The sequence below is a fragment of the Homo sapiens genome, chromosome 5 (genome assembly GCF_000001405.40).
Source record: "Homo sapiens chromosome 5, GRCh38.p14 Primary Assembly".
In the NCBI taxonomy this organism is placed as follows: Eukaryota; Metazoa; Chordata; class Mammalia; order Primates; family Hominidae; genus Homo; species Homo sapiens.
In genome coordinates, this window is record NC_000005.10 from 113,313,220 (window position 1) to 113,340,226 (window position 27,007).

At 39.6% G+C, this 27,007-nt stretch overlaps 1 protein-coding gene and 1 long non-coding RNA gene across 2 annotated transcripts in view; one reads left to right on the forward strand and one right to left on the reverse strand.

Annotated features, from left to right (window-relative positions):
* The window catches only part of LOC124901045 (uncharacterized), a 44,906-nt gene extending 18,360 nt beyond the window's left edge, over positions 1–26,546 (forward strand). Inside the window, exons 2-3 of the long non-coding RNA XR_007058904.1 lie at positions 9,908–10,054; positions 23,168–26,546. This is a non-coding gene — a long non-coding RNA (uncharacterized LOC124901045). The remainder of the gene's footprint in view (positions 1–9,907; positions 10,055–23,167) is intronic.
* MCC (MCC regulator of Wnt signaling pathway) overlaps positions 1–27,007 on the reverse strand; it is a 466,348-nt gene that overhangs the window by 291,114 nt on the left and 148,227 nt on the right. The gene's annotated exons all lie outside the window — the stretch shown is intronic.

Here is a 27,007-nt window from a genome sequence, read left to right on the forward strand (position 1 = left end):
ACCTATAATCCTAGCTACTCGGGAGGCTGAGGCAGGAGAATCGCTTGAACCCAGGAGGCGGAGGTTGCAGTGAGCCAAGATGGCACCACTGCACTCCAGCGTGGTGACAGCAAAACTCCGTCTCAAAAACAAAAAACAAACAAACAAACAACAAAAACGTGTAGAGAAGGAACATCTAGTTCTGTGAAGGCCAAATTGCACTCACTGAAAGCAAAGTGAGCTTGAGGAAATTATGGCTCCTATTCTGGCCCGAGAGTTCCTGTCATATCTGATAGCGGTGGTTGGGGAGGAAGGAGGGTTGGAGATATGATGGCAATGGCGAGCTACTAAGGAAAAGAGATCTGGAGCACTTTCTACTCTGGAAGTCCATCTCCTAATGCAGGAGTCACAGATCAGTATTGGCCTTCAGCTATTTTCTTGGGTTCCTATTTACTAGGGATGTTCTTTATGCATCATCTGGTGGAAGACTCCAGAGAGTCTGGAAAGATTCTTATATTTCTAAATAGATATTCCATATTCTCTCAAAGCTCCCAGGGAGACCTGTATAATAATCTGCCATTTTCTTTCTCTCTCTCTCTGTCTGTTTTTTGTTTTGTTTTGTTTGTTTGTTTGTTTGTTTCAGACAGAGTCTTGCTCTGTTGCCCACGCTGGAGTGCAGTGGTGTGATCACAGCTCACTGCAGCCTTGGCCTCCTGGGCTCAAGTGATCCTCCCGCTTCGGCCTCCCAAGTAGCTGGGACCACAGGTGCAGGCCACCATGCCTGGCTAATTGTTATTTTTTGCAGAGACATGATCTCACTATGTTGCCCAGGTTGGTCTTAAACTCCTAGGCTTAAGCAATCCTCCTGCCTCAGCCTCCCAAAGTGCTGGGATTACAGGTGTGAGCCACTGCACTTGGCAGATATCTATAATTCTAAACAGATATTCCAGATTCTCTCAAACCTCCCAGGGAGGCCTGTATAAAATCTGTCATTTTCTAGGCAAAATGATAGAGTATAATTTAAAAATCATGGGGCTTCATTTTGCCTTTAATTGGAGTTTTAAAATGATAGAATAGACAAATAAGAGCTCATTTTTCTAATTACAATTTGGATGGACTTGGGAGTGAAGGCTGGATGACTGTGTCCTTCAGTTTTAAAGATTTTTATGGGAATTCCATTTCCCTGCAGGTCCTGAGTTGTTCAAAATTAGAAAAGGGCATGTAAATGCTGTTAGTGTCAGCAGCTTCACCTGAAAGAACTGTTTTTGCTCAACTCCACACAGTATAGAGCCGGATATTCTGAGTATTGCTGAGTGCTCATGGTGACATGGTCCAAGAAGGAGTTTCAGGGGAACCCTGAACTCTCCACCTTTGACCCCACTTGGTCATTTTTATTTTTATTTTTCTGAGATGGAGTCTTGTTCTGTCACCCAGGCTGGAGTGCAATGGCGTGATCTCGGCCTACTGCAACCTCTGCCTCCTGGGTTCAAGCGATTCTCCTGCCTCAGCTTCCCGAGTAGCTGGGACTACAGGCATGCACCACCATGCCCAGCTAATTTTTGTATTTTTAGTAGAGACAGGGTTTCACCATGTTGGCCAGGCTGGTCTCGAACTCCTGACCTCAGTTGACCCACCTGCCTCGACCTCCCAAAGTGCTGGGATTACTGGTGTGAGCCACCACACCCAGCCTCCATTGGGTCATAACCTTCACTTTGGGAAGTCAGTTCAAAAGTCCAGCAGGACTGGTCTTAGTGCTCTTCCAAGAGTTTTGCTCATTATCCTGGATTCTGGCCTTTGATTCTCATATTCTCTTGATTTGTAGAGTTAATCTGCCAAGAGCTTTGCTCTCCATCAGTAAATAAGAAACTGTTTTATGATGAAATACATTATAAACTCTATTCAGTATTCACGTTCTTGGCAAATAAAGTTTGTGATCCTTACTATTGGCTGAGGTGCTTTTAAGGTAAAGATGAGAAGATGTTAAATATAAATCCCAAATTTATCTCTGGTCCTCAATTCTTTTCATCCCTTCATGCCTGCTAGGGAACCCCCAAATTCCTAACAGTATCCATAGCTCTTCTTCAACAGCAGTTCCCAAAGGTACTGCCTGTTTTATTATTAGAAATTGAATATTCTTTACGTACTAAATATAGTTATGTATCTAGTGGGTGCTCAATAAGTTATAGGTATTAGATTAAATCATATGAAATTGCTTTTAATAGAACAAAAAGAGAAGACGTTGACAATTTTAAATAGTTCAACTTAATACTAAGTTCTGCTGCATACAGCCAACATAGAAAGTCGTTTGAATTATGTTAAGTAATTTCAGCAGCATCCAAAAAGGTCAAATGCCCTTCATGTGCTCCTTTTTAAAAAAAATGACAGCAGGCCAGACGCAGTGGCTCACATCTGTAATCCTAGCACTTCAGGAAGCTGAAGGAGGAGGATTGCTTGAGCCCAGGAGTTCAATATCAGCCTGGGCAAGATGGCAAAACCCCATCTCTACAAAAAAAAAAAAAAAAAAAAAAAATAGCAAGGCATTGTGGTGTGCATCTGTAGTCCCAGCTACTGAAGAGGCTGAGGTGGGAGGATCACCTGAGCCTCAGGAGGTCGAGGCTGCAGTGAGCCATGATCACACCACTGCGCTCCAGCCCGGGTGACAGAGTGAGACCCTGTCTCAAAAAAAAGACAGCAGAAGATTGGGATGATTAGGCCATTTCTTCTTTCGAAGTGCCCAAAACAACTAGGTACAAAGTAGACCTTCAAGAGATACACGTTGGCCGGGCATGGTGGCTCACACCTGTAATCCAGCACTTTGGGAGGCTGAGGTGGGCAGATCATGAGGTCAGGAGTTTGAGACCAGCCTGACCAACAAGGTGAAACCCGGTGTCTACTAAAAATACAAAACTTAGCTGGGCGTATTGGCACACGCCTGTAATCCCAGCTACTCAGGAGGCTGAGGCAGGAGAATCGCTTGAACCCAGGAGGCAGAGGTTGCAGTGAGCTGAGATCATGCCACTGCACTCCAGCCTGGGCGACAGAGAGAGACTCTGTCTCAAAAAAAAAAAAAAAAGAAAGAGATATGTTATATTAAGTAGTCTACTTATCATAAGTCATATTCACAACTGAAAGGCTATAACTTGATAATATTGCTTAAGACCCTTTGTACTGCTAACTGAATTAAAATACCAATAACAAATACCAAGAAAAAGAGAACGAAGTTTGCAGGCCTCATCTGCTAGCACAGCCACTACCCATGTCTTGACAGAAATGAATTCTCATAAGGATTGAATATTCTCCTAGAGCTCATTTATATTTCTGTCATGATCCAATAAGTTCCAAGAGTGAGAGAAACTACATTTCACATAGCCCACATGAGCCCTGGCACATCTAATCTGCAATCTCTACCTTTAATTTATATCTGAAAAATGAATGAATGAACATCTACAGGGATATAAAAGTCAGGGTCTCATAAACACAATGCGTAATTCTATTACACCTGATGCCCAGCTCTGAACATATGCTAGCTTTGTATCAAAGAGGGTAAACCAAACTGCTCCCCCACCACCAGGAGACATGCAAATCTGTCAAATAACATAGCATTCAGCCCAACCCACTGATTTGCTCATATATGTTTGTGTGTGTGTATGTATTTTTAAAACCAAGTTTTAATTTTAATAGCATTCCTTTTTAATTTAAGCAAAGCAAAATGGAAATGACACTGAAACAGATGCAAAAGTATGGTGAAAAATGTCTACTTGGACAAAGCTATTTTAATGAAAGCAACACTATGCAGGCTTCCTGATTCCTTTTAGTTATTCAACCACCCAAATTAGATTCACTTCACTGGCTGTCTTCATCAGATTTCACAAAACTGGGGACTACCGAAAAGAAATAAAAGGTGAGGGTTTTCCTTAAAGCGGGATACCAGGTTTTGAACACAAACATTCAGATTAAGTGAAGGAACTTGATTAAACCCACAGTTCAAAATAATGATGAACTGAATGCTGGAACTCAGCTGCCTGACACACTTTAGCATATGAATTAAATTTTCTGTTCGCTAACCCACTTAAAAAAAAACTATATTCAAACATCTCCTTTCAGGGAATTGGCCATATGTGAAATGAACAGACCCTTGGGTCCACATGGGGCTTGGCTTGCAATTTCTGAGTTTGCTAGAAAAGTGAGTTTATTGCATTACATTACAATGGACACTGGTAGATTTATTTGAGTAAATGACACTATAATAGCCATGCCTATTTAATCAAATGGGTCATCACTAAAATTCATACAGGTGTACCAGCAGTTGTTTCATGACTGATAGTATCATAAAGGGATGTTTATGGCCAGGTGCTAAAGAAGGTACTTCAAACAAGGAGGTGAGTACATGTGATGACAGGGAAAGAGCTGTCATGATGTATGACACGGATATTCCTAAGCACATTCACAATTCTGGAGCAAAATGTTTTCCATAAAACCTTCGTTCCACAAATAGAATTTAAAAATGGCATTGTAGCATATGGCCATGTAAATTGTAAATGCAATCCACATGTCTTCAACAATGCCAGTGTGGATGGGCTAATGAAGATGCAAATGGAAAAAGGTATACTACTAAGTTGGCTACTTCAGAACACCCAGATGGCCCAGAAATTCCAGACCATTTTGTGAATACCAAAAGGAAAAATGTGATCAGGATATAATTACAGCCGTCATAATTACAGTCTTACAGATTTAAGATTTCACATAGTTTAAATATCACAAGATGCAGAGGGAGACCTAAATGCTTTATGAATCATATAAGAAGGAAAAAAGGAAGCAAATCAATTATGAAGAGGTGGAGGTCAGAGGATTTCCAATTATTGATATTGCACTGTAGGGAGATGGATTGAGTTTTGTGGTGTAGATTAGATATAACTAAGTCTTGAAGAGTTTAGTTAGCTGGGAAGGAGCTACAGTTTGAGTACATTCATTTTTTAAAGCACTGTACTTTACAAACATGACATCACTGTTATTGCCATTTTGAGATGAAGACAACTAAAGCTCAGAGAGATGAAACAATTTCCCCAAAGTCACAAAGCTAGTAAGTGCCCAAACAGAGATGCAAATTCCAAGTCTAACTAACTCCAAAGCCTACATAAGAGCTAACCAAGGCAGTCTTTCATATATCACCTTTACAACTTTTGCCAGACTATGTACCATCTGGGCTTTAATCTACTTAACATGATTCTCTAAATTGATGGATTTATACTTCAAAATGTTTATTTAAAATGGTACATATACACCATGGAATACTATGTAGCCATAAAAAAGAATGAGATCATGTCCTTTGCAGGGTCATGGTTGGAGCTGGAGGCCATTACCCTTAGCAAACTAACGCAGGAACAGAAAAACAAATACTGCACGTTCTTACTTATAAGTGGGAGCTAAGTGAAGAGAACATATGAATACATAGAGGGGAACAACACACACTGGGGCCTATGGGAGGGTGGAGGGTGGGAGGAGGGAGAGGATCAGGAAAAACAACTAATGAGTACTAGGCTTAATACCTGATGAAATAATCTGTACAACTAAGTGCCATGACACAAGTTTGCCTATGTAACAAACCTCCACGTGTGCCCCGGAACTTAAAATAAAAGTTAAAAAAAATGAAAATTTTATAATGCTATTTTATTTTAATTATTTTTTTGAAACAGGGTCTCGTTCTGTTGCCCAGGCTGGAGTGCAGTGGTGTGATCTCAGCTTACCGCAACCTCCACCTCCTGGGCTCAAGTGATCCTCCTACCTCAGCCTTCTGAGTAGCTGGAACTACAAGACACACGCCACCACATCTGGATAATTTCTTATACATTTTATAGAGACGGAGTTTTGCCATGTTGCCAGGCTGGTCTCAAAATCCTGGGCTCAAGCAATTCACCCACCTCAGCCACACAAAGTGCTGAAACTATAGGCGTGAACCTCTGTGCCAAGCCTTCTAATACTATTATTAATGGAAAATAACTGTAAGTGGCATAAGCAGAAGGCAACTGTAAAAGTAAAAGTAAATTTAGTCTAGCTAAATACTGTTGCTTACCAAAGCTCTGATCCTGGGGCCGGCCTTTTCCTTGTAAAGAGAGCTCCGAGAAGCAGAGAGGTATTAGTGAACTTCTTGCACCCAAATGAGGCTTTTCTCTTGATGTAAACATAAGGACTGGAAGAGAACTATAAAGGGAATTCTATTCTTGTCGTATGATACCGTCCTATTTGATGCCATGTGGTGTGCCACCTGTATTCACTGTGTCTTCCACCTGTGGCATGCTGGCCTTGTTTTGGGAAAGCATGTTCCCATTGGCTGAGCATTTTCTGTGAGCTGGACCAAGAGAAGATGGAAGGGAGTGATTGGATCTAATCATTTTTTTCAAACCAAAATTCAACTTGAAGGAAACTAGATGCCTGTTTCCATGCATGGCTCAATTAAATTTTATATATAACAAATATGAGATCAAACTCAAAATTAAGCATAGAGCTAAAAATCTTACACAATGTTGATGTCTAACAGCATTCAAACATGTTGGCTCTAGGAACTACTGGATATTGTTTACCAGGCTTCCTGGATAAACTATGGGATATCATTGTACAAGCCACAGCAGGCCTCTCCCTCTTGCAAAACTTTGCCTTGGAGAAGACCGGCTGGAAGTTCTTAGTGCCTTGCCTACTCCTGGGCAAACCCCAATGGCCATATGAGGCCCCAAAGTTATTTCTTAGCATAATTTTATCCTGGGCTTCTCCTTACTTCTATTTAAAAACACAGAACAACAGCATGGCTATTACAGTACCAAGATCATCACCATAAAATACTAAAACCCAACTCCATGTGTCAAACAGAATGATCAAAAGATATTTGTGCATTCTTATTTCAAAGATATTTTATTTCCTAATCTTCTATAATTTGACTCACTAGTATGCTTATTAGCGTATATAAACTTTTGCAAAAATTCAACCAGTATCCTGGCTTTTTTTATAGCATGTACTCTGTCTGCCCAGAAAAAACCCACATTCATGCATTCAAGCCTACTATGTAGTACACACACACACACACAATTAGTTGTTTGTTTTTAAAAAACTGAATTTCAGTAGCAGAGAGGGTAAGGGATCCTAAGTGGCAAATATATAGAAACTGAAAGAAATGCAAATTCAGATTCATGTCAGGAAACAGATTTTCAAATGGTGATAACATTGTACACAAGACTGTTTAAGAAAATGCACCAGACTCATTGCAAAAAAAAAAAAAAGGCTGTTTAAATGTCATCTTGGGAGGAACACAGTATTAACTGGCAAAGCAGGGTGATAACCTACAGGCCCTCTACATGTTCCAAATATTTAGACTTCTGAGGAAATACATGTTTATTTTAGAATTAGGAAAGCATACTACTTATCTCTTAAAATTTTCAGGAACCAGCAACTGGTTTAATTATTAGCAGAGTTCCTTGGCCAAACTATTGCTTCCAAAAAAGGTGATATCCTCACATATTAAACATTCCTTTTTGCAATCCTAAGGCCTGGCACAGTGACTGGCACAAAAACACTGCTAAATGAAAACCATGATGGGTAAATTAGTATATAGGTGAGATCTTGCTCTTAAATACAATATAATGTGGCCAGAATTTGGAAATGTGAAGAGAGAGTTGATGTGAATACCAATTGTTTCACCTTCCTCTAGCAGAGTACCAATGTAACACTCATGATACTTTCTCAAATATTTCCAATAGCATAGCCTACACTTTCTTAGTTGACACAATTGTTTGTTCTAATTTTCTAAAGGTACATTTTTATGTAAAAGGAAAAGCATAGGCATGAAACAATATTCCACTACACACTTGTGGTTCAGTAATCATTTTGCTGTTTTAGTGAAATATCCTCAGAGCAACTGAAAATGCTAAATATAAAGGAATGAAAACAGAAACAAGGATAATAAGCAATTTCTATTTCTACTGAAATCTGAAAATATAGAATTTCTGTTTTTAATTTGAAGTCTAGAAATAAAACCAAAATATATCTTTTCTATAGCTGAGTCTAAAAACCAAGTTTTCTTTGTAAAATAAATAGGAAAACTTTTTTTTTAATAAGGAAAAGCATTATTCTCCAGGTTATACCATTTTAATACATCTGACCCCAATTTTTAGATCTTGGTTTCTGGAACCTGAAGCAACTGGTTCTCTGCTGATTGCTAATTTGAGGGAGGAAAATGATCAGGAAGGAGGTAAAATCTAAGTCAGAGCTCGGCCTTCTGGATCTGAGAGGAAATGCATAAACCAGGCAAGTGCGGAGCCCACATTAGGAAACTCCCAAGGGGGATGGTGATGTTCTGTAGTTAAAACTTAAAGTCTTCTCAATTAGAGAATTGAGAGATAGCTTCTCAATTAGAAACACCTCAGTTCTAAGAAGATGCTGTCTTTTATTCCTGAACTTGACTGCATAAAAGCAAATGCTCCCTATTTCTCCAGTTCACAAGCCTTCTTCAAATGCAAAGCCTGGGTTAAGCACCAAAGAGCAATGTTTCTCAAACTTTAGAGTGAATACAAATCCCAGAGAGCTGGTTAAAATGCAGATTTTGATTCACTAGGTCCGGGGTGATGCCCATGATTTGTATTTCTTTATTTTTATTTTTTATTTTTGAGATGAAGTCTCGCTGTGTTGCCCAGGCTGGAGTGCAATGGTGCCATCTTGGCTCACTGCAACCTCCACCTCCCGGGTTCAAGCAATTCTCCTGCCTCAGCCTCCCAAGTAGCTAGGATTACAGGTGCACACCACCATGCCTGGCTAGTTTTTCTATTTTTACTAGAGACGGAGTTTCACCTTATTGGTCAGGCTGGTCTCAAACTCCTGACCTCAGGTGATCCACCTGCCTCGGGCTCCCAAAGTGCTGGGATTACAGGCATGAGCCACCGCACCTGGCCCATGATTTGTATTTCTAACAAGCTCCAAGGTGGTGTGGATGCTACTGATTTGTGGACCACACTTACTACCAAGGACATAGAGAATACACACCTGTGGCTTCCTTGACTTTACCATCTGGTGGGGAAAGTCTATAAGTAAATATGTAACCATTGCAGTTTGACTGCACACTTTTCCTACTTACTGATTATCTAATATGGCTGTACTATAATTTTATTTTATTTCTGCATGAAAACTTCTTTTCATGAATATATTGAAACATAATTGTATAAAATCATACAGAAAAAGAAGAAAAGACATATCTGTTATGAAGTTTTACTTTAAAAAAGAAATCAATTATGAGAAAACAAAAATTACACATTACAATTTCTTGACTGAAATAAATGCAAGTGTTTCATTAAATAAAGAGAAAATCAACTCCCCCTACAAACATCCAATTATTCAATTAAACTTTCTTGGGTAAAGTCAACATCAACCAGTAATGTTGATTTTATACCTATTTCTACCTCCTGTTTTAAAGAATCAGCTATCAAAAGATAAGAGTTTCCTACTTATTCCATAAATATTTACTGAGCATCAACTATATATTAGGCACTGGGCTGGGTACAGAGGATAGCGAGTTAATGAATGAGGGAAGCCAAACAAGAAACAAGTAAGCAATGAATTGGTAATAGTTAGAAAACTAAGTGATCAAGATGAAGAACCAGCCTCCAAGATAGCCTACAATGATCCCCATCTCCCAGTATTCATTTCCTTGTACAGACCTCTTCCAAGCTAAATAGGACTGACCTGTGTAACCAATAGGATACTGCATAAATGACAGTGCGTGACTTCTGAGGCTAGGTCATAAAAGACATTGTAGCTCTGCCTTGCTCTCTTGGCTCTTTTGCTCTGAGGGAAGCCAGCTGCCCTGTCATGACGGTATGCATGCAGCCCCATGGAGAGGCCCACATCATGAGGAACTAACCAAGCACTAACTTGCCTGGTGTTTCAATAGGCCACTTTGGAGGCAGATTCTCCAGCCTTGGTCAGGCCTTCAGATGACTGCAGCCCTGGCTGATGACTTGACTGCCACCTCATGAGAGACCTTGAGCCAGAACCACCCAGCCAAGCCACTCCTGGATTCCTGATCCACAGAAACTAGGTGAGACAATAAATGTTTATTGTTTAAAGCCACTAAGGTTTGGGGTAATTTGCTGTGCTGTAATAGGTAACTAATACAGAAGAGAGGTGGGTGAGAAGGTGAGAACACACCTACTTAAACAGGTGGTCAGGAAAGGCTTCTTTGAGAAAAAGACATTTAAGCTGAGAATGGATAAAATGGAGCCAGCTCTGGGGTGGAAGGTGGTGGCAGTGGTGGTAGGAAGAACAGCATTCCCAAACAAGAAAGCTGAATGGCAGAGGGAAGATCCGGAGTTGTATATGGGACAGTGTGGCCAGAGCAAATTCCTGCAGGGAAATGGGAAAGATGAGGTCACAGAGGCGGTCTTAGCCATATCAGGTATGACTTCTTGTGAAAAGTTTAAATTATATTCTTAACACATTGGGAATCCTTTCATGAATCTTTAGAAGACTAATGCAATTCTCTCTGTTTCAAAAATCTCACGTGGGCCTGGAGCAGTAATGCACAACTGCAGTCTCAGCTACTCAGGAGGCTGAAGCAGGAGGATCACTCAAGCCCAGGAGTTCTAGGTTGTACTGCACTATGATCATACCTCTGAATAGCCAGTGCACTCCATCCTGGGCACCATATCGAGACAATGTCTCTAATAAATAATCTCACTTGGGCTGTAGTGTGGAAAGGACCACTAATGCCTGGCTTACTATCTACTTTTCAGTTATTTAGAGGCTCAGAGAAGAATGACCAGGAAAGATTTGAAAGTATTAGGAGTTACATAAATATCTAATTGTTACTAGTATTACTCTTGCTATTATTCCAAACTCAGGCCTGGTATGGCCTCTGCGGTGTTGCAAGGGAGGAAACAAATGGACAGGAGAGAGCAATGAGGATTTTGCTGGTTTCTATAGAACCCCAGAATCCTTTCTGAGGCAGCCTCTGAACCTCACCAAATCCAATTCCAAATTTAGGAAGGAGTTTCTACTTGCTAGGCAAGTAGAACAACATCAAAATGTTGATGAATAACAAACACAAATGCATAGTACAAATATTTACTTTTGGTGTGGGCATGATTTTTAAAAATATATAATTTTTAATTATGCAGATAATATTCACTGTAGAAAAATCCTTGTTTATTACACACATAATATTCATTGCAAAAAATTAAGAAATGTAAATGTGCAAAAGAGAAGAAACTACCAATCACCCAAATTACACAAGATAAACATTGTTTTCATGTTGGTGAGTATCCTTCCAGTATCCCTATGCCCATATGTAAAATATACTGGCTAAACCTAAGATTTTAAAGACTTTTCCTTCTCTATTATAAAAACCATAAATTCTGATGTTAGGCAATTTGAAAGACACAGAAAATATAAAGAAGAAAATAGATGGCATGAATAACACTACCTCTATTTCTTTCTGAGAATCTAAAGGTAGCACTGGCAATCTATCCAAGCCTGCAGCTGTTACTCTGAGCTGACATTTTCTACAAATATTCATTTCCTTAATTTCAGCCTACCTTTTTACCTCATTAGAAAAGGAAAATAAAAGTTGAAGACTGTTCACTTTGTAGGAAGTTTTGGAACTTTTTTTTTTTTTTGGAGACAGGGTCCCCCTCTGTCACCCAGGCTAGAGTGCGGTGGTGCAGTCATAGCTCACTGCAGCCTCAAACTCTTGGGCTTAAGGGATCCTCCCACCCTAGCCTCCCAAGTAGCTGGGACTACAGGCACATGTCACCATGCCCAGCTAATTAAAAAAAAAAAAAATCTCAGTAAAGGCAGGGTCTCACTATGTTGCCCAGGCTGGTCTCAAACTCCTGGGCTCAAGCGATCCTCCTGCCTTGGCCTCTCAAAGTGTCTATATTACAGGCATGAGCCACTGCTTCCAGCCCTGGAACCATTTTTATAACTCACAATGAGATAAGTTAGAGGGGTGGGAAGGAAAGGTGTTGTGTGATAACATTGGGAAAGAATTCCCAGTGTTTCCTTCTTACCACAAACTCTAACCAATCCTAACCCTTTGAAAGATATTATAGGGGCAGCGCTTGAAAAGACAAACTAAATGTTAATGATTCACACAATAAGAGTGCTCAAACTGAATTTTCAACCTCAAAACAAAACCCATCTGGAGAAGTGTACTAAATTCTGATTGTTTTCATTACTCGGGCTTCTCGCAGCACTTTTTTTTTTTTTTTTTTACTGACTTAAATCTAACTTTGAAATAGAAATTCTTCTCATGGACAGTAGCCACTCTTACTTTCATATGGCTTCCTAGACTTCCCTGCAAAGTCTTTTGCTGCTGTTAGGCAATCACGCAGAATCACAAGTGCTGTGGGCTCAGAGAAACTTCAGTCTCGGTGGTAATCTTGACTACTTTATTGAACAACGGAAACTCATTTGCTAAATGGAAAGTATTGTAGCATATGGTGCCATTCCAACCAAGGTTTAATCCATTTGAAAGCAGACTTTCAAGAACATAAACCTATATTTTCCTTCTAAAAAGAGTCACTTTACAGTTGAATTTCACAGAAATTTTAAACCCTTGATCCACAGCCAACACTGACATGGTTTTACTCCTCTAATACAACAGTTACCTTTCTGAATTCACTGGAAACATTTTTAGCCAACAAGGTTTAACAGACACATGATCTTAATGTATCTGAACTCTGGAAAACCAAAAGCTGGGAATCTGGACCATACTGTAAAAAGTAATCTGAGATGCCAGTGAGTGTGGAGTAAGGGGCAGAGAGGCATTAAGCAAACACACGAATTAGGGTTTTATTTATATCTTTGATTATAAATTAGATGTTTTGTCTAGATTAAAGCCATTAATATGCACAGGTATGAAAAATGTGTTTGAATGTGATATGGTCTGAATTTTTCACATTTAAGTATGAATCAAGACAACACAAGAATAATATGGGATACACAGAAGAACCAAGACAGAACCAAGGCTACCTGGTTAAAGGTTATTTCCGGTTCCACAGCAAAAGAAAAGTTAGGACACATAACATAAATCATTACATACTATTTATGTATCATTTGGGTGCTGTCTTAGTCCACTTGTGCTACTATAACAAAATACCTGAGACTGGATAATTTATAAAGAACAGAATTTTACTCTCACAGTTCTGGAGGCTGGGAAGTCCAAGATCAAGGTGCCAAGATCTTCCAGATGGTGCCCTCTTGCTGTATACTCTGGAGAGGCCAAATGCTGTGTCTTCATATAGCAGAAGAGATGGAAGGCCAAAAGGCCTAAGCTAGTTCCCTTTAGCTCATTTATAAGGAATCCTCATTACTTTATCACTTACCAAAAGGCCCTACCTCTTAATTAGCACCACGATGGGGGTTAAGTTTCAATGCGAATTTTGGAGGGGACATATTCAACCCATAGCAAGTGCTATATGAAGTTTATAATGAATTTTCAATAGTTCTCACTACACTATATGGATTCAGTCATTCTTAACACTCTCTGTGTTATCTTCATAATCTTCTATGGTAATGAATATATTCCAGTATTATGTTAAACATAAAATGGCTGAATTAAGGTAGATTATATTCAACTATTTAGAATCAAGATTCTGTACATGATCCCTTATTTCAGATTCTGTCAATAAGGTCTTTTTCTATAATGAAATAAAAATTTTATTCCCCTAAAATATCTCTTAAAGAGAGTGCAGCATTTCCTTGCAAGGAATGCTTTTATAATTCACATATGGTAAAAGCATAAGATGCTAATGTCATGTTTGGCAACAAAAATGGTTCCTAAATTTCAACATATAATATTAGGAGAGAAATTTGCATCCCTCCAACAAAAAAGAAGGAAGCAGACAAGAGTAAGTAAGCAGCGGCATTGCTTGGGAGAGGGGTGTGAAGGTACGGAGAAAAGCTTCAGATCTGGGATAAAGGAGGATCTCTAGAGGACAGAAGTATCAAATAGAAACTCCTAAGCTGTTTGCTTGAAAAGATAGGTATGTGTGTGTTGGGGGGTGGGATTTACATTTAACATAAATCTCAGCTGGGCGCAGTGGCTCACGTCTGTAATCCCAGCACTTCGGGAGGCCGAGGCAGGCAGATCACCTGAGGTCAGGAGTTCGAGAGCAGACTGACCAACATGGTGAAACACTGTCTCTACTAAAAATAAAAAATTTGCCGGGTGTGGTGGTGTGAGCCTGTAGTCCCAGCTACTCGGGAGGCTGAGGCAGAAGAATCGCTTGAACCCAGGAGGCAGAGGTTGCAGTGAGCCGAGGTCGTGCTACTGTACTCCAGCCTGGGTGACAGAGTAAGACTCAGTCTCAAAAAAAAAAAAAAAAATATATATATATATATATATATATAAAAATCTCATCCTCTATGTACTCTTTCCTTACTAAGATATTGCCTACCAATTCTTTTGTGATCATAGATTCATCACTAAGTTCCAAGTCTGGGTTGCAATGAGGAGAAAACAGAGCTGGAATTAACAGAAACAAAAACTGAAGGACAAAGAGCAGCTGACATTTGGGCTTTTTAAGTAATAATTATTAGGTTGGTGCAAAAGCAATCGTAGTTTTTGCCATTAAAAGTAATGGCAAAAAGCACAATTACTTTTGCACCAACCTAACATTATTATACCTCAGTGTGGAAAATATGAGGAATATTTAGGAAAAACATTAGGAATACCTAATAGTATTATTCCTCAGTATGAAAAATAAATCTGACACATATAAACATGAAATAAGATGTAACAACTAACAAATGATTATTCTTCTCAATACAAGTATAATTGACACCATAATTCACAGATCTACTAATCCTTTTCTGCCTTTGTACCTGGCAACATTCACTTCTTGAGCTAATGTAAATGCCAGTCTTATAAATACGACTTACCTCTCCCCTGAGAGAAATAAATGACATAGTAAGTGTTAGATTAGAAAGGAAGAGGTGGAGAGGGTTAGGTTTGAAGAGGGACTGGCCATCTGAGAATTAAATGAGATGATGCTGGCAAAGCGCTTCTACTGATATCCTACATGTACTAAACACTTAGCAAACGTGACCAGTTATTCATAGGAATAATCGTAGGAACACATTAATTCCTTCTGCCTGCTTCTGTCTCTAGGGAAAGGTTTTGCCCTGATCCATGACAGAGACTATTACCTAAAAGATACAAGTGGGACAGGGCTAGGGAAGAGATTATCCCTCTGCCCCAGAAGAATCTACTGAGAAGTTAATGTGGGATCCACCTCTCTTACTACTAATGGTTTTCCTCTTCACTTTTAAGTCTAGCTGAAAACAACCTCCAGCATTCTCGGCAATTAGGATGAAGTCTCTGGGTTTCAAATGCATCTCTGATAGATGCCTCTAACTGCATCAACGTGGCAGATGCATTTCTCTCAGCATTTAATGCTAATCCTCCTTGTTGTCTAAGGATAAATAACTGCACAATCGTGTCAGGAGGCCCCAACATAAATTCACCAGGGGTTTTAATTACTCTCCAGTGACAATATCTCATACAAAATCAGAGAAGTGAAAATCCAGTCAGTGTGTGTACATGTGTGTTTATGTCCCAGGCTATCCCCAGAACAGTCTGGGGATCATCATTTCTGTTCCAATAGAGGAATAAGACCAGGAACCCATGTCCAGTTCAGATGTGTGAGACAGCACTGCACCCTGTCGAATGGGTCCGAAGAACAAATGATTTCCCAATGACACTGCCTGCAGCATCCCTCCTTCCCTTGGGGGCACATAAATGAGTAGCTACAAACTCAAGCTGTGGAGTCAAACAAACCTGGGTTCACATCTCAGCCTGCTACATGCTCACTTTTTCATGCCAGGCAACCTCTGTAATCCTCAAATTTCTCACGGGTAAATGGGGATCATACCTATATATGCAGCATAAAGTTGTGAGGATTAAGCAAGATAATCTATGCAAAACAAGTGACACAATATGTAGTGTACGGTAAATCCCCAATGAATATTAGCAACACCAAAAGAAATGCAGAGGGAGTTCCTGTCCCTTTGTTGCAGAGGACATGTTGCTATGAGGGTCCAGGTGTTCTTCCTCCCACCCAGGCCTCTAGTTGGGTGAATTGGAAGAAGAGCATCTTATCTCCCACCTGGGCCTAAGAGTAAAGATGGTGAATAAACTATATATATACACACACACACACACACAGAAACATATATCCACACATACATATATACACACATACATATATACATATATGTATACACACATGCATATATACGTATACACACACATATATAAACACAACTGCTGTAGATCTCACAAATGAAAATGCTAATGTCTGCAAGTTCATTCTATACATAACTTTTATAAATCCAGAAAGCCATACAAACTAGTTTCAGAGGATTATCTCTTTCAAAGAAACAGTCCAACAACCAAAAGTAATTAATAATAGATACAATTCTTTATTTAAGGTCTCATACTTCATCAAATAATCTACTGGCATACTTTTTAATGTCCCTTTGCTTTCTCCTCTTGAAATCCATTATACTATCCAACTGCAATGGAACTTCTCTCCTCCCTACCCCATCCACTCACCTCCAGTCCATCCCTTTAGTGTATATAGATCAGCTTAGCCTCTCCTCCAGAAAGCAGGGCTCCCTTCTACTTAGAAGAGGGGCAGGAGAGGAAAACTGAGTGATCTAAAACATAACTGTCCTTGGTGATCATGAAGAAGGGGGCAGCAGTGCAGTCATCTAAGTGACTTTTGCCTCTGTCAAACTAAATTTGGCCTGAATTACATAAGGACAGTTGAGTCCTCATGTAATTAATTGCAGTCTAACTTAGCACATAAACTAACTGAAAGCCTAACTTAGGAGTATAGTTTTGTAACAAATAGCTGAGTCTCAGTCAATCACAGGCAGCCAGCTGATCAGACCATATTCAAATAAGGCAAATGCCAAGCTGTAATCAATCAAGTTTCTGTACCTGACTTTTGTCCTGTCCATAAATGCTGCCGCCCATGTAATGGAGCAGAGCTCTCTGAACCGCTTCTGGTTCTGAGAGCTGAGTGATTCCTGAATCATTCTTTGCTCAGTTAAACTCTGTGAAATTTAATTTGTCTAAACTTATTCTTTTAATACCTCTGCACATACAAAATACAAGAATACATTCCTGTACCTTTTTTCTCCCTCATTCTTAATTCATGACTTTATTTTCAAATACAAAGATGCAAAGATAGAAAACCTTACTACCCCAAAGTAGGAAGTATGTTTCCTATCTCTCCTTTGCCTTTTCTTCAAAAACGCAAAAAGTCATTAAGATGTTAATGCTGAGATAAGTCATTGGAAGAAGGATGGAAAAGAAACTACAAGAAATGATAGACATGGTGCTGCCAAGCAGCTACTCTGTTTTTATAAAATACTTCAGACATAAATGGCATTTGTATTCTGTGACGAAAACCCCTCTTCCCCTCCCCTACACAAAAGGAAAGGCAAAGAAATGCAAAGGAAGTGGTAATTGCCAGGTGTCTAGATATGGGACCACTGCCCTCTAGTGTACTTGAAATTTTTCTAAATCCCTTTATCAGAGATCTTTACCTGAAAGATAGTAGGAAACAGAATAAAACATGAACCTCTGTTGAACTATCCAATAGAATCATTTTAAAAAATACTGTCAATTATTAGGAGAGTGATATGACGGCTTCCTACCACCTCACTATCTGTTGGTGCCAACACTTTCTTCAGGTCCTACACATGGACCTGAACAAGGTTTCAGTCCAACAGATTGCCAAAGGGCAGAAGAAATATTAAAAGTATTTCACAACTAGTGTGGCATACGCACTAGCTAACCAGAACAGATGCCCGGAAGATGCCAGCTGGCAGCAATTCTGCCTCTTCCCTTTGCAGGGCCAGCATTAACCCCTTAGATGCTGAACTGTGGAGAGGTTCTGGGTTCCTGGCAGAGGGACTAGGTAGCCAAGAGAGTAGGGGGTCTGGGACAAAAGCATGTCAATATTTCAACGATCTGTACTGTGGTGTTCTGGCTGAACATTCACTCTGCTAAGAGGATTAGAAGACATCAGAAAAATAAGCCAGTACCGCTGAGCAGAGCAGAAGAGTGACTCAGCGTCCACTAGCAAAGATCTGAAGTAGCTCTTCCTCCCAGCAGCTGTTCCTTCTCTTGCCAATAACCAGGGACATCCTCTAGACCAGGACAGGGGTATAGTAGTGTTAGTAGCGGATGTCAGGAAATCTACCCTACAGTCTTGGTTCTACTACTTTTGTGTGTCCTTAGGTGGATATTTTGATCTGGGCCTCCATATCCCTGTTTTTAAAATAAAAAGGTTAGACTGAAGTTTTTCAAGGATCCTTCTCTCTGTAGGTAGAAATTATTATTTTTTTCATGATCTGCTTTTTTGTTTGTTTTGTTTTGTTTTGTTTTGTTTTGTTTTGTTTTTGAGATGGAGTTTCACTCTATTGCCCAGGCTGGAGTACAGTGGTGCCATCTTGGCTCACTGCAACCTCTGCCTCCTGGGTTCAAGCGATTCTCCTTGCCTCAGCTTCCCGAGTAGCTTCGAGTACAGGCACCCGCCACCACAACCCGGCTAATTTTTGTATTATTAGTAGAGACGGGGTTTCACCATGTTAACCAGGCCGGTCTTGAACTCCTGACCTCAGGTGATCCGCCCACCTCGGCCTCCCAAAGTGTGGGATTACAGGTGTGAGCCACTGCCTCTGACTATGATCTGGTATTTCCAAGTGAATTCTACATACAAGATCATTCAGCATAATTTTTAATGACAATACCACCTTGAGAACTCCTGATGACAACAACGTCATCTTGAGACAGCTCTTAGACTATAAAAAAGTGATCAGTAAATATTTCGAAATCTCCTTGAAAGATCTCATTTCTTTAGAATTTTTTTAGTTTCTATTTCCAAATACTACCCCAAATGTAGCCACTTGTAAGTAACTTTCTTTTTTGATGTTTCCTTTATTTTTTGAGACAATGTCTTGCTATGTTGCCCAGGCTAGGGTGCAGGCATGATCATAGCGCACTGCAGCCTCCAACTTCTGGCCTTAAGCAATCCTCCCACCTCAGCCGCCCAAGCAGTTGGAACTAGAGGTGTGTGCCACCATCCCTGGCTATAAATAAGTATTTTCCTAAGATTTACTTAATTCTTTGAGTTAACTGGCAAGATAATAAAGGTGATTTAAAGAAGGATAGAAGAGGCCAGGGACAGTGACTTACGCCTATAATCCCAGCACTTTGGGAGTCTGAGGTGGGAAGACTGCTTGAGCCCAAGAGGTCAAGACTGCAGTAAGCCAGTGCATTCCAGCATGGGTGACAGAATGAGAACCTGTCTCCAAAAAAAAAAAAAAAAAAAGGAATAGAAGAAACTAGTACATATAAATCCAGTAGAAAAAAATAATGCTGGCATAGGACTGCAAAGTTAGTTACAAAATGGTTGCCGTTTTACTAGGGCCAATAAAATATAACATTTGGGGTTACCTTCCATGCTGGGCAAAAGTAGTTTGTATCTCTACCAAACAAAAGTCATCAGTAACTTACCGATCTTCTGCAAATTAACATCCAAATTTTACAGATTCTAGACTTCAATTAATAGCAAATAGCCAAACAAAGCTACACCTCCTGAAATATCAGCTGATTCTTAGAGGATCTAATACGACTTTGAAAGAGCACCCAGTAATCTTTTTGCTTTATTTCAAAATTTCTGAAAACTCTTCTTAAGAATTTTCAAATCCCTTGACCCTGAAACATCAAGGTAGCAGATCTCAATAAGAGGGAGAATAATAAGGACTGTGGGAACTGAAAAGTGTAAAAACAAACAAAAAAACTCCTCGGTATTTTATGGTTGATATGAAAAAAGGGGGAAACAAACCAAAAACTAATGTGAAACACAAGAAGCTGATCAAGTGTTTAAACCAAAAAGAAGACCTCTGTCTCTCTCACCACTACTACACCAACTCTTATTCACACACCTTTTAAAGATGTTTCTGTATTGGATGAAACGTGTGGATGTGCAGTATTCTCCAAAGTAACCAATAATGTTGTATCAAGTTTCAGTTAATAACGACTATATTAATAATTTTGATCATATAGCAAATGAGCATGATAATACACAGTTTTAATTCGATTTTCAATTCACAGGTGTTAAACCAGCCTAAAGTAAAAAGGCTGCTTGGAGTTTTTGACTGTTGGATACACAGAGGAGCAAAACTTGCTATGTCAGTTTTTTAATTCGCATGATTTTATTTGCACAACTCATGACTTTTTTTCTCCTTTAAAAATGTAAATTACTTTTGCAAAAAAGCATTAAACACAAAATTAAGTCTTAAAATGGGCAAAGTTGAAGCCAAGTCATCCAAAGGAAAAGACAGCCTTGAGCAGCAGGGTGCAGAATACAGACATTACCATCTTCATCTGCATAGAAATGAGTCTGACTGTGTTTACAGCTTCATCATTTGAAATGTTACAGAAAAACTCATGAAACAGTGCACTTCCCCACAGATAGCTGGTATGTTAGATAACTAAATGCACAAAAACAAAATGTCTTTGCTTCATATATATTTATATATATATGTATATATGTATATATGTACATATATGTATATATGTATATATGTATATATGTACATATATGTATATATGTATTCACATATACATGTATTTATATATCTATATAAATACATTATAAATTTATATATCTATTTGAGGGAAGACAAGGAGACAAATGATTACTTTTACTTTTCATCAACTTTCTGTTATGCACATGGCTTCTTTTATAGTATAATTAATTTTAGTGTACATCAATTAATACTTTTATTAATAAAAATAAAGCTAATAATACTTTAAAAACCAAGTAGTATAGCTGACAGAATCTATCTAGACATTGCTATTTCATTCAGAAATTTATCTCTGCTGTATATAGAAAGTGAAACTTCTGTTATGTTTTATGTTTTAGAATATTTATATATATTATATATATATTATATACACTTTTTGGGGGGATAGGGTCTAGTTCTGTTGCCCAGGCTGGAATGCAGTGGCGTGATCTTGGCTCACTGTAACTTTCACCTCCCGAGCTCAAGTGATCCTCCCACTTCAGCCTCCCAAGTAGCTGGGACCACAGATATGTGCCACCACGCCCAGCTAATATTTGTATTTTTTGTAGAGACATGGTTTCACCATGTTGCCCAGGATGGTCAGACTCCCGGGTTCACGCGATCTGCCCACCTTGGCCTCCCAAAGTGCTGGGATTACAGGCATAAGCCACCATGCCCGGCTGTATTACATATATATTTACAATACACATTTTTAAAAAATCAGTCTCAATCACTTGGAAGTGACAATTCAAGGTTCTGATTTCTGATTTTTTTTTTTTTTTTTTGAGATGCAGTCTCGCTCTGTCGCCCAGGCTGGAGTGCAGTGGCGTGATCTCAGCTCACTGCAACCTCCGCCTCCCGGGTTCAAGTAATTCTCTGGTCTCATCCTCCTGAGTAGCTGGGATTACAGGCACGCACCACCACACCCGGCTAATTTTTGTATTTTTAGTAGAGATGTGGTTTTACCATGTTGGCCAGGCTGGTCTTGAACTCCTGACCTTAGGTGATCTGCCTGTCTCGGCCTCCCAAAGTGCTGGCATTACAGGCGTGAGCCACCGTGCCCAGCCAATGTTCTGAATTTTAAAAAAATCAACCCTATATTCTAGGCCATTCCTTAGCCCTTTTCTCAAAATTCCAATATTTTATTTGTCCTATCCCAATTCCCTGAAAATCTAAAGGGTGACAAGCATGCTCTATGCTGAAGAATTTTTTGTTCTTTGACTCTGAACAATGCCCAGAAGAGGGTGCTCATAGAACAATCAGCCTTGCTTTAACCGCAAAGCTAGCACACATCCTCTAGATCAAAGTTTGGTAACCCCAAATTTGGCAAGTACCATAATGATTGTAGTGTGTTAAGACTGCAGAAGGAGAAATGAAAAGTTCCCTATATTAAAAGCAATTCAAGAATACATTTTAAAAAGTTGGTGAAGACCTTTTAAATGAGGGAAGACAGAGACAAATGATTACTTTTACTTCTCATCAACTTTCTGTTGTCCACATGGCTTCTCTTCTAGTATAATTAATTTTAATGTACATCAATTAATACTTTTATTAATAAAAAATAAAACCTATAATTAATACTTTAAAAACCAAGTAGTATAGCTCACAGAATTTATCTAGACATTGCTATTTCATTCAGGAATTTATCTCTGCTGTATCTAGAAAATGAAACTTCTGTTACGTTTTATGTTTTAGAATACTTACATATGTTACTACTCAGAATCCATAACATTATAATTTATACTAGCATTATTTCCTGGTAATACAAATCTTTGTAGAAAAAATCTATCAGAAAACAGGCAGTACATCTTTCCCACTGCATACCCTCTTTACCAGACTCTTAAAATATCTCATATTGCTTTACCCATAGTTTTATGAATAGGGCTTAGATTACACTGAGTTTTGCTGCTGCTTTGTGGTGACTTGGTACTAAATTCAGCTAAGCTGGAACCACATTCCCCAGAGTTCTCTTTCTTGTATGGTTCTGTATGGCCATGAGAGACATTCTGTGTGAAATCCAGAAGGAAGAAGTAAAGAAGTCATACTTTTTATGCTCTGAAACTTGGTACAGAGTTACTGTCGTAGTCTGTTTTGTGCTGCTATCACAGAATATCTGAAACCGGGTAATTTATAATGAATAGAAATTTATTGGCTTATAGTTCTGGAGGCTGGGAAGCCCAATATTAAGGTGCTGGCATCTGTCAGGTGACTTCTTACTGTGTTATCACATGGTGAAAGAGTGCAAGGGCAAGGAGAAGGTGAGAGAAAAAGAAAGAGAGAGAGACAGGGAGTGGGAGAGAGAGAGAGGAACCTGTCCTTTTAAAATGGCACCAATCCCACCCATGAGGGTGGAGCCATCATGGCCTAATCACCTCTTAATTGTCCCACCTCTTAATACTGTTATAATGGCAAAAAAATTTCCATATGAATTTTGGAGGGGAAAACAAACCATAGCAGGCACTATGCACCTTGTCCACTTGCACACATTATTGCTAATCTGCTGCTTAACTACTTGGTGTACCAGGCTTGCAGTAATTCTAATTCACTAAATCTCCTCCTTCAGCTTCTCTGAGTCCTGGGCCAAGTGTGTGTGCAGGAGACACACTGCAGGAGATAGTGCCAGTTTCTCCTGCAGGTCACCCGCAGCATCAAGGTTGGACATGGTAAGACACAGAAGAGGGTTCCAGTTTGTCCTCAATGGTCCCATTGGTCCTCATGAGTTCTGGTTTGTCCCTACTCTCCTATACATCTAGCTTTCCCTCTTAACAGCTGATCTGACAAACCTATAGTAACTTCAGGCTCAGCACTAGACACAGAACCAATAGTCTTCATAGATTGCATCACCAGCTCTCACATTTGTGTAAGGTCTAGCCCTTAGGATAATAAATCTCTTATTCTGTATAATGTGTGGCCATTTTGCTACTTCGATAAAACCATGGCTGCTGTAAGTATCTGTGTACAACACTGTCTTGTTGCCTTTGCATTGTGAACGGTATGTTAAGCCTCATGGTATCCACTGTCTTAGGTAGAAGGAGAAGACTGGTGATTGGTGGTAGAAGAAAAGGAAGAGATGCTTAGAAAGGTAAAAAGCTTATGTAGGAATCTCTCAGGAAATCCTCAATGCTAAAAATGTCTGTGCTAGTTATCATTTGTTGCTTCTCATCTCCAAATCCAGCTTTCTTTGTCCTGTTTTGTGGTCTTGGAGCTGGACCATGTAAACATTTCTCCTTTGTCAATAGAGGGTGCTGGAGGGACACTGTAGGAAGAAGGGAACTCAGCTTGACTCTCGTGGCTTGACTGCTGTGCTCTCCCCTGCTAGCTCTTGTGGTGGGTAGGCGCCAGCAGCATAGGACATCTAGTGACTCACCCTATTAAGTTTTAGTGGCAGTATTTGGGGGACTTTTCAGTGGGTTTGCCACCACTCCAGCAGGCAGCTTCCCAGTGAATCCCTCTGGCACCTCGGAGGACACCTCAGTGATACCTGATGAGTCTTGCAGATGCCCCAATGGGTGGTATACCAGGAGGCTGGACGAAGGTTCAGAAGTTTGGTTTCCTGCTTGCCAGCCCTGGCCTGCAACATCTCAGGGAAATTCTCTGCAATTCAGTGGGCTGCAGACTTTCTTTGAAAGGGGTCTGAATCAGCCCTGGGTGAGGGGAGGGCCCTCTTCCAAATTTGTTCCTTCTTTGGTACTCTTTCCTTGGGAACAGCCTTAGGGGTAGTGGCTGTTCTTCGTATGTGCTATTCCTGTGTTCAGTACGGTTTTCTTTACCCTTAGTAGGTAATCCTCTGCTACTAGTTAATAATCATTTATATTAAACTTTCCCTGTGTGAATTACTGTGTGCTTTCTGTCTCCTAACTAGACACTGATAAAATGCCTTTTGCTCTTAGTAGCTATTTAAAAGAAAAATAATAAAACTTAATTTTATTAGTTCAAGATTTTTCCTTAGAAGGGACATAAATTACTTTTAATGTGATTATATAAATAAAGGGATTGCCCAAATGTGCAGTTTCAAGAGACTATTTGCTTTCTTTGGCCACCTGGGAAGGGTATTTCTCAAATCGGGCTCTACAGACCCTTCTGAGTAGACCCTGAGTCACTATGGCTATGAAACAAACTACCGCAAACACAATGGTTAAAACAACCATCATGTATCACTCTCACGTATCTGACAGAAGGACTCTAGAGTTGCATGACAAATGGTGAAGACACAGGACAGGATGAAGAACTGGGGCCCAAAATGTACTCTACCACAGGGTCCAAGGGCATTAAAAATGGGTCTGTGAATTCAAATGGTATTTTTAAAGTTTTACTTTTCCATTTGGTGAGGAAATAAATAGTGTAATCATAGTCATAGGACTTCAGTGCCTGCATTTGCATTCATGGTTCAGTTCTTGCCAAGGGATCGCCTTAAGTGAGTGTGCAGAGGAAATGTTAGGCAGTGTTCCCTCATTTCTAAAGCTTAACCAGTAAAGTAAAAAGAGGGTATGTATATGACTGTGGGGTATGTGAGAGCTCTCTGTGCCTTGACTCCCCTGAAGAGCCAACTTAGAGAACCTGGCTGTGGGAACCCCAAGGGCTGAGCTGGCCTCCAATCAGGAGAGACAGGAGAACAGAAATCAGTCCAGGAGGTTACTGGAGAAGCTGGGAACCACAGAGTCATACAGAGATAGGAAACAGCCAACTCCCACAGTTTTCAATAGCAGATTTGCTGCAGAAAACTGGTCGGCCATGAACCTGGAACCCTCCAGAGAAGGTACCATCAAATTTTGATCTCTGTTTAACACTGATTTCTGCTATAACCCATCCTGTTATGGCAATGTCTGTCTTGAGAAAAGGCTGAGCTGATATAGTACAGAGGAGGGTTCAACTTGCTGCAAATTATTTGAAGCAGGCATAGCCTAAGTCCAGGCCTATGCCAGAGAAAGATGACATATTCACTGATAATCGCCTAATCTCCTGAGCACATAGGAGGGCAAGATTAGGATAGTTAGAGTTCTACTCAAACTGTGCAAGAATGTCCTTGAAGTGTGGCCAAGTGACAAACAGTGCAATAACTATGAATGTTTTTACAGATTTTATGAGACATTATCATACCCTAGCAGTGACTGTGCATGTTTATATGTTTTTAATAAATTTTTTATTTTATAATAGTTTTAGGCTAAGGCGGGTGGATCACTTGAGGTCAGGAGTTCGAGACCAGCCTGGCCAACATGGTGAAAACCCTGTCTCTACTAAAAAAAAAAAATACAAAAATTAGCCAGGTGTGGCAGGTACCTGTAATCCCAGCTACTTGAGAGGCTGAGACAGGAGAATTGCTTGAACCTGGAAGGCGGAGGTTGCAGTGAGCCAAGACTGCGCAATTGCACTCCAGCCTGGGCAACAAGAGCGAAACTCCATCTCAAAAAAAAAAACAAATAGTTTTAGACAAAATTTGCAAAGACAGGAGAGAGAGTAATCATATACCCCACAAATAGTTTTTCCTACTTATTAACATCTTACATTATTTTGGTATACTAGTCATAATAAACTGATGTTGACACACTATTATTAACTAAAGTCCATATTTTATCTAGGCTTCCTTAGTGTGTGTGTGTGTGTGTGTGTGTGTGTGTGCGTGCATGTGTGTTTTACTGTAATGTCCTTTTTTTCTGATCCAGGATCCCATTGAGGATATGCATTCCATTTAGTTGTCGTATTTTCTTAGGCTTCTCTTAGCTGGACAGTTTCTCTTTATTAGACTTTCCTTGTTTTTGATAACCTTGACAGTTTTGAGGAGTTTTGGTTACGTATTTTGTAGACTGTCATTTAATTGGGATTTTTCTGATGATTGTATTTTAATTATTGTTGCCATATTTACAATTGCTAGTTCCTTCAAACATCCCACCAAAAGTGTCAGAATTAGAAAGTGTGCCTCAAACACAGAGTTTGAAAACCACTGGTCTACATCAAAGCAGACTGTAAATATGCATAAGTCAAGGTTATTGAGATGCTTAGTCTACCATTTGAACTTCAGTTTCAAAAAGCCAGGTAGGCTTTTAGACCTTTCCCACAGTGGCTGCATAGCAATCTCAATTTGTACTGTCTGCATGTCACCCAAAATGGCCAGGCCATCGGCCACCCGCCTCATTTGGCAGCCCTGACTTAGAAGAGAAGACAATAGCTCTTTGCCCAAAGGTCGCTTTGTAGTGACTCACCTTGAAGGAAAAAGGAAGGTAAATTACACATAATGGCCTTCTAAGTTGTCCCACAGTTTTCAACAGAAAATACTCTTAAAGTATAACCAGAAACAAGAAACCTTCAATGCAATATTTTCCTTTTTGTTTTCCAAATAAGTAAAGTCCAAATTAGGAAACAGAAGCAAGTATATCCTATTAATTTGTAATGTCTAGAACCATAGAAG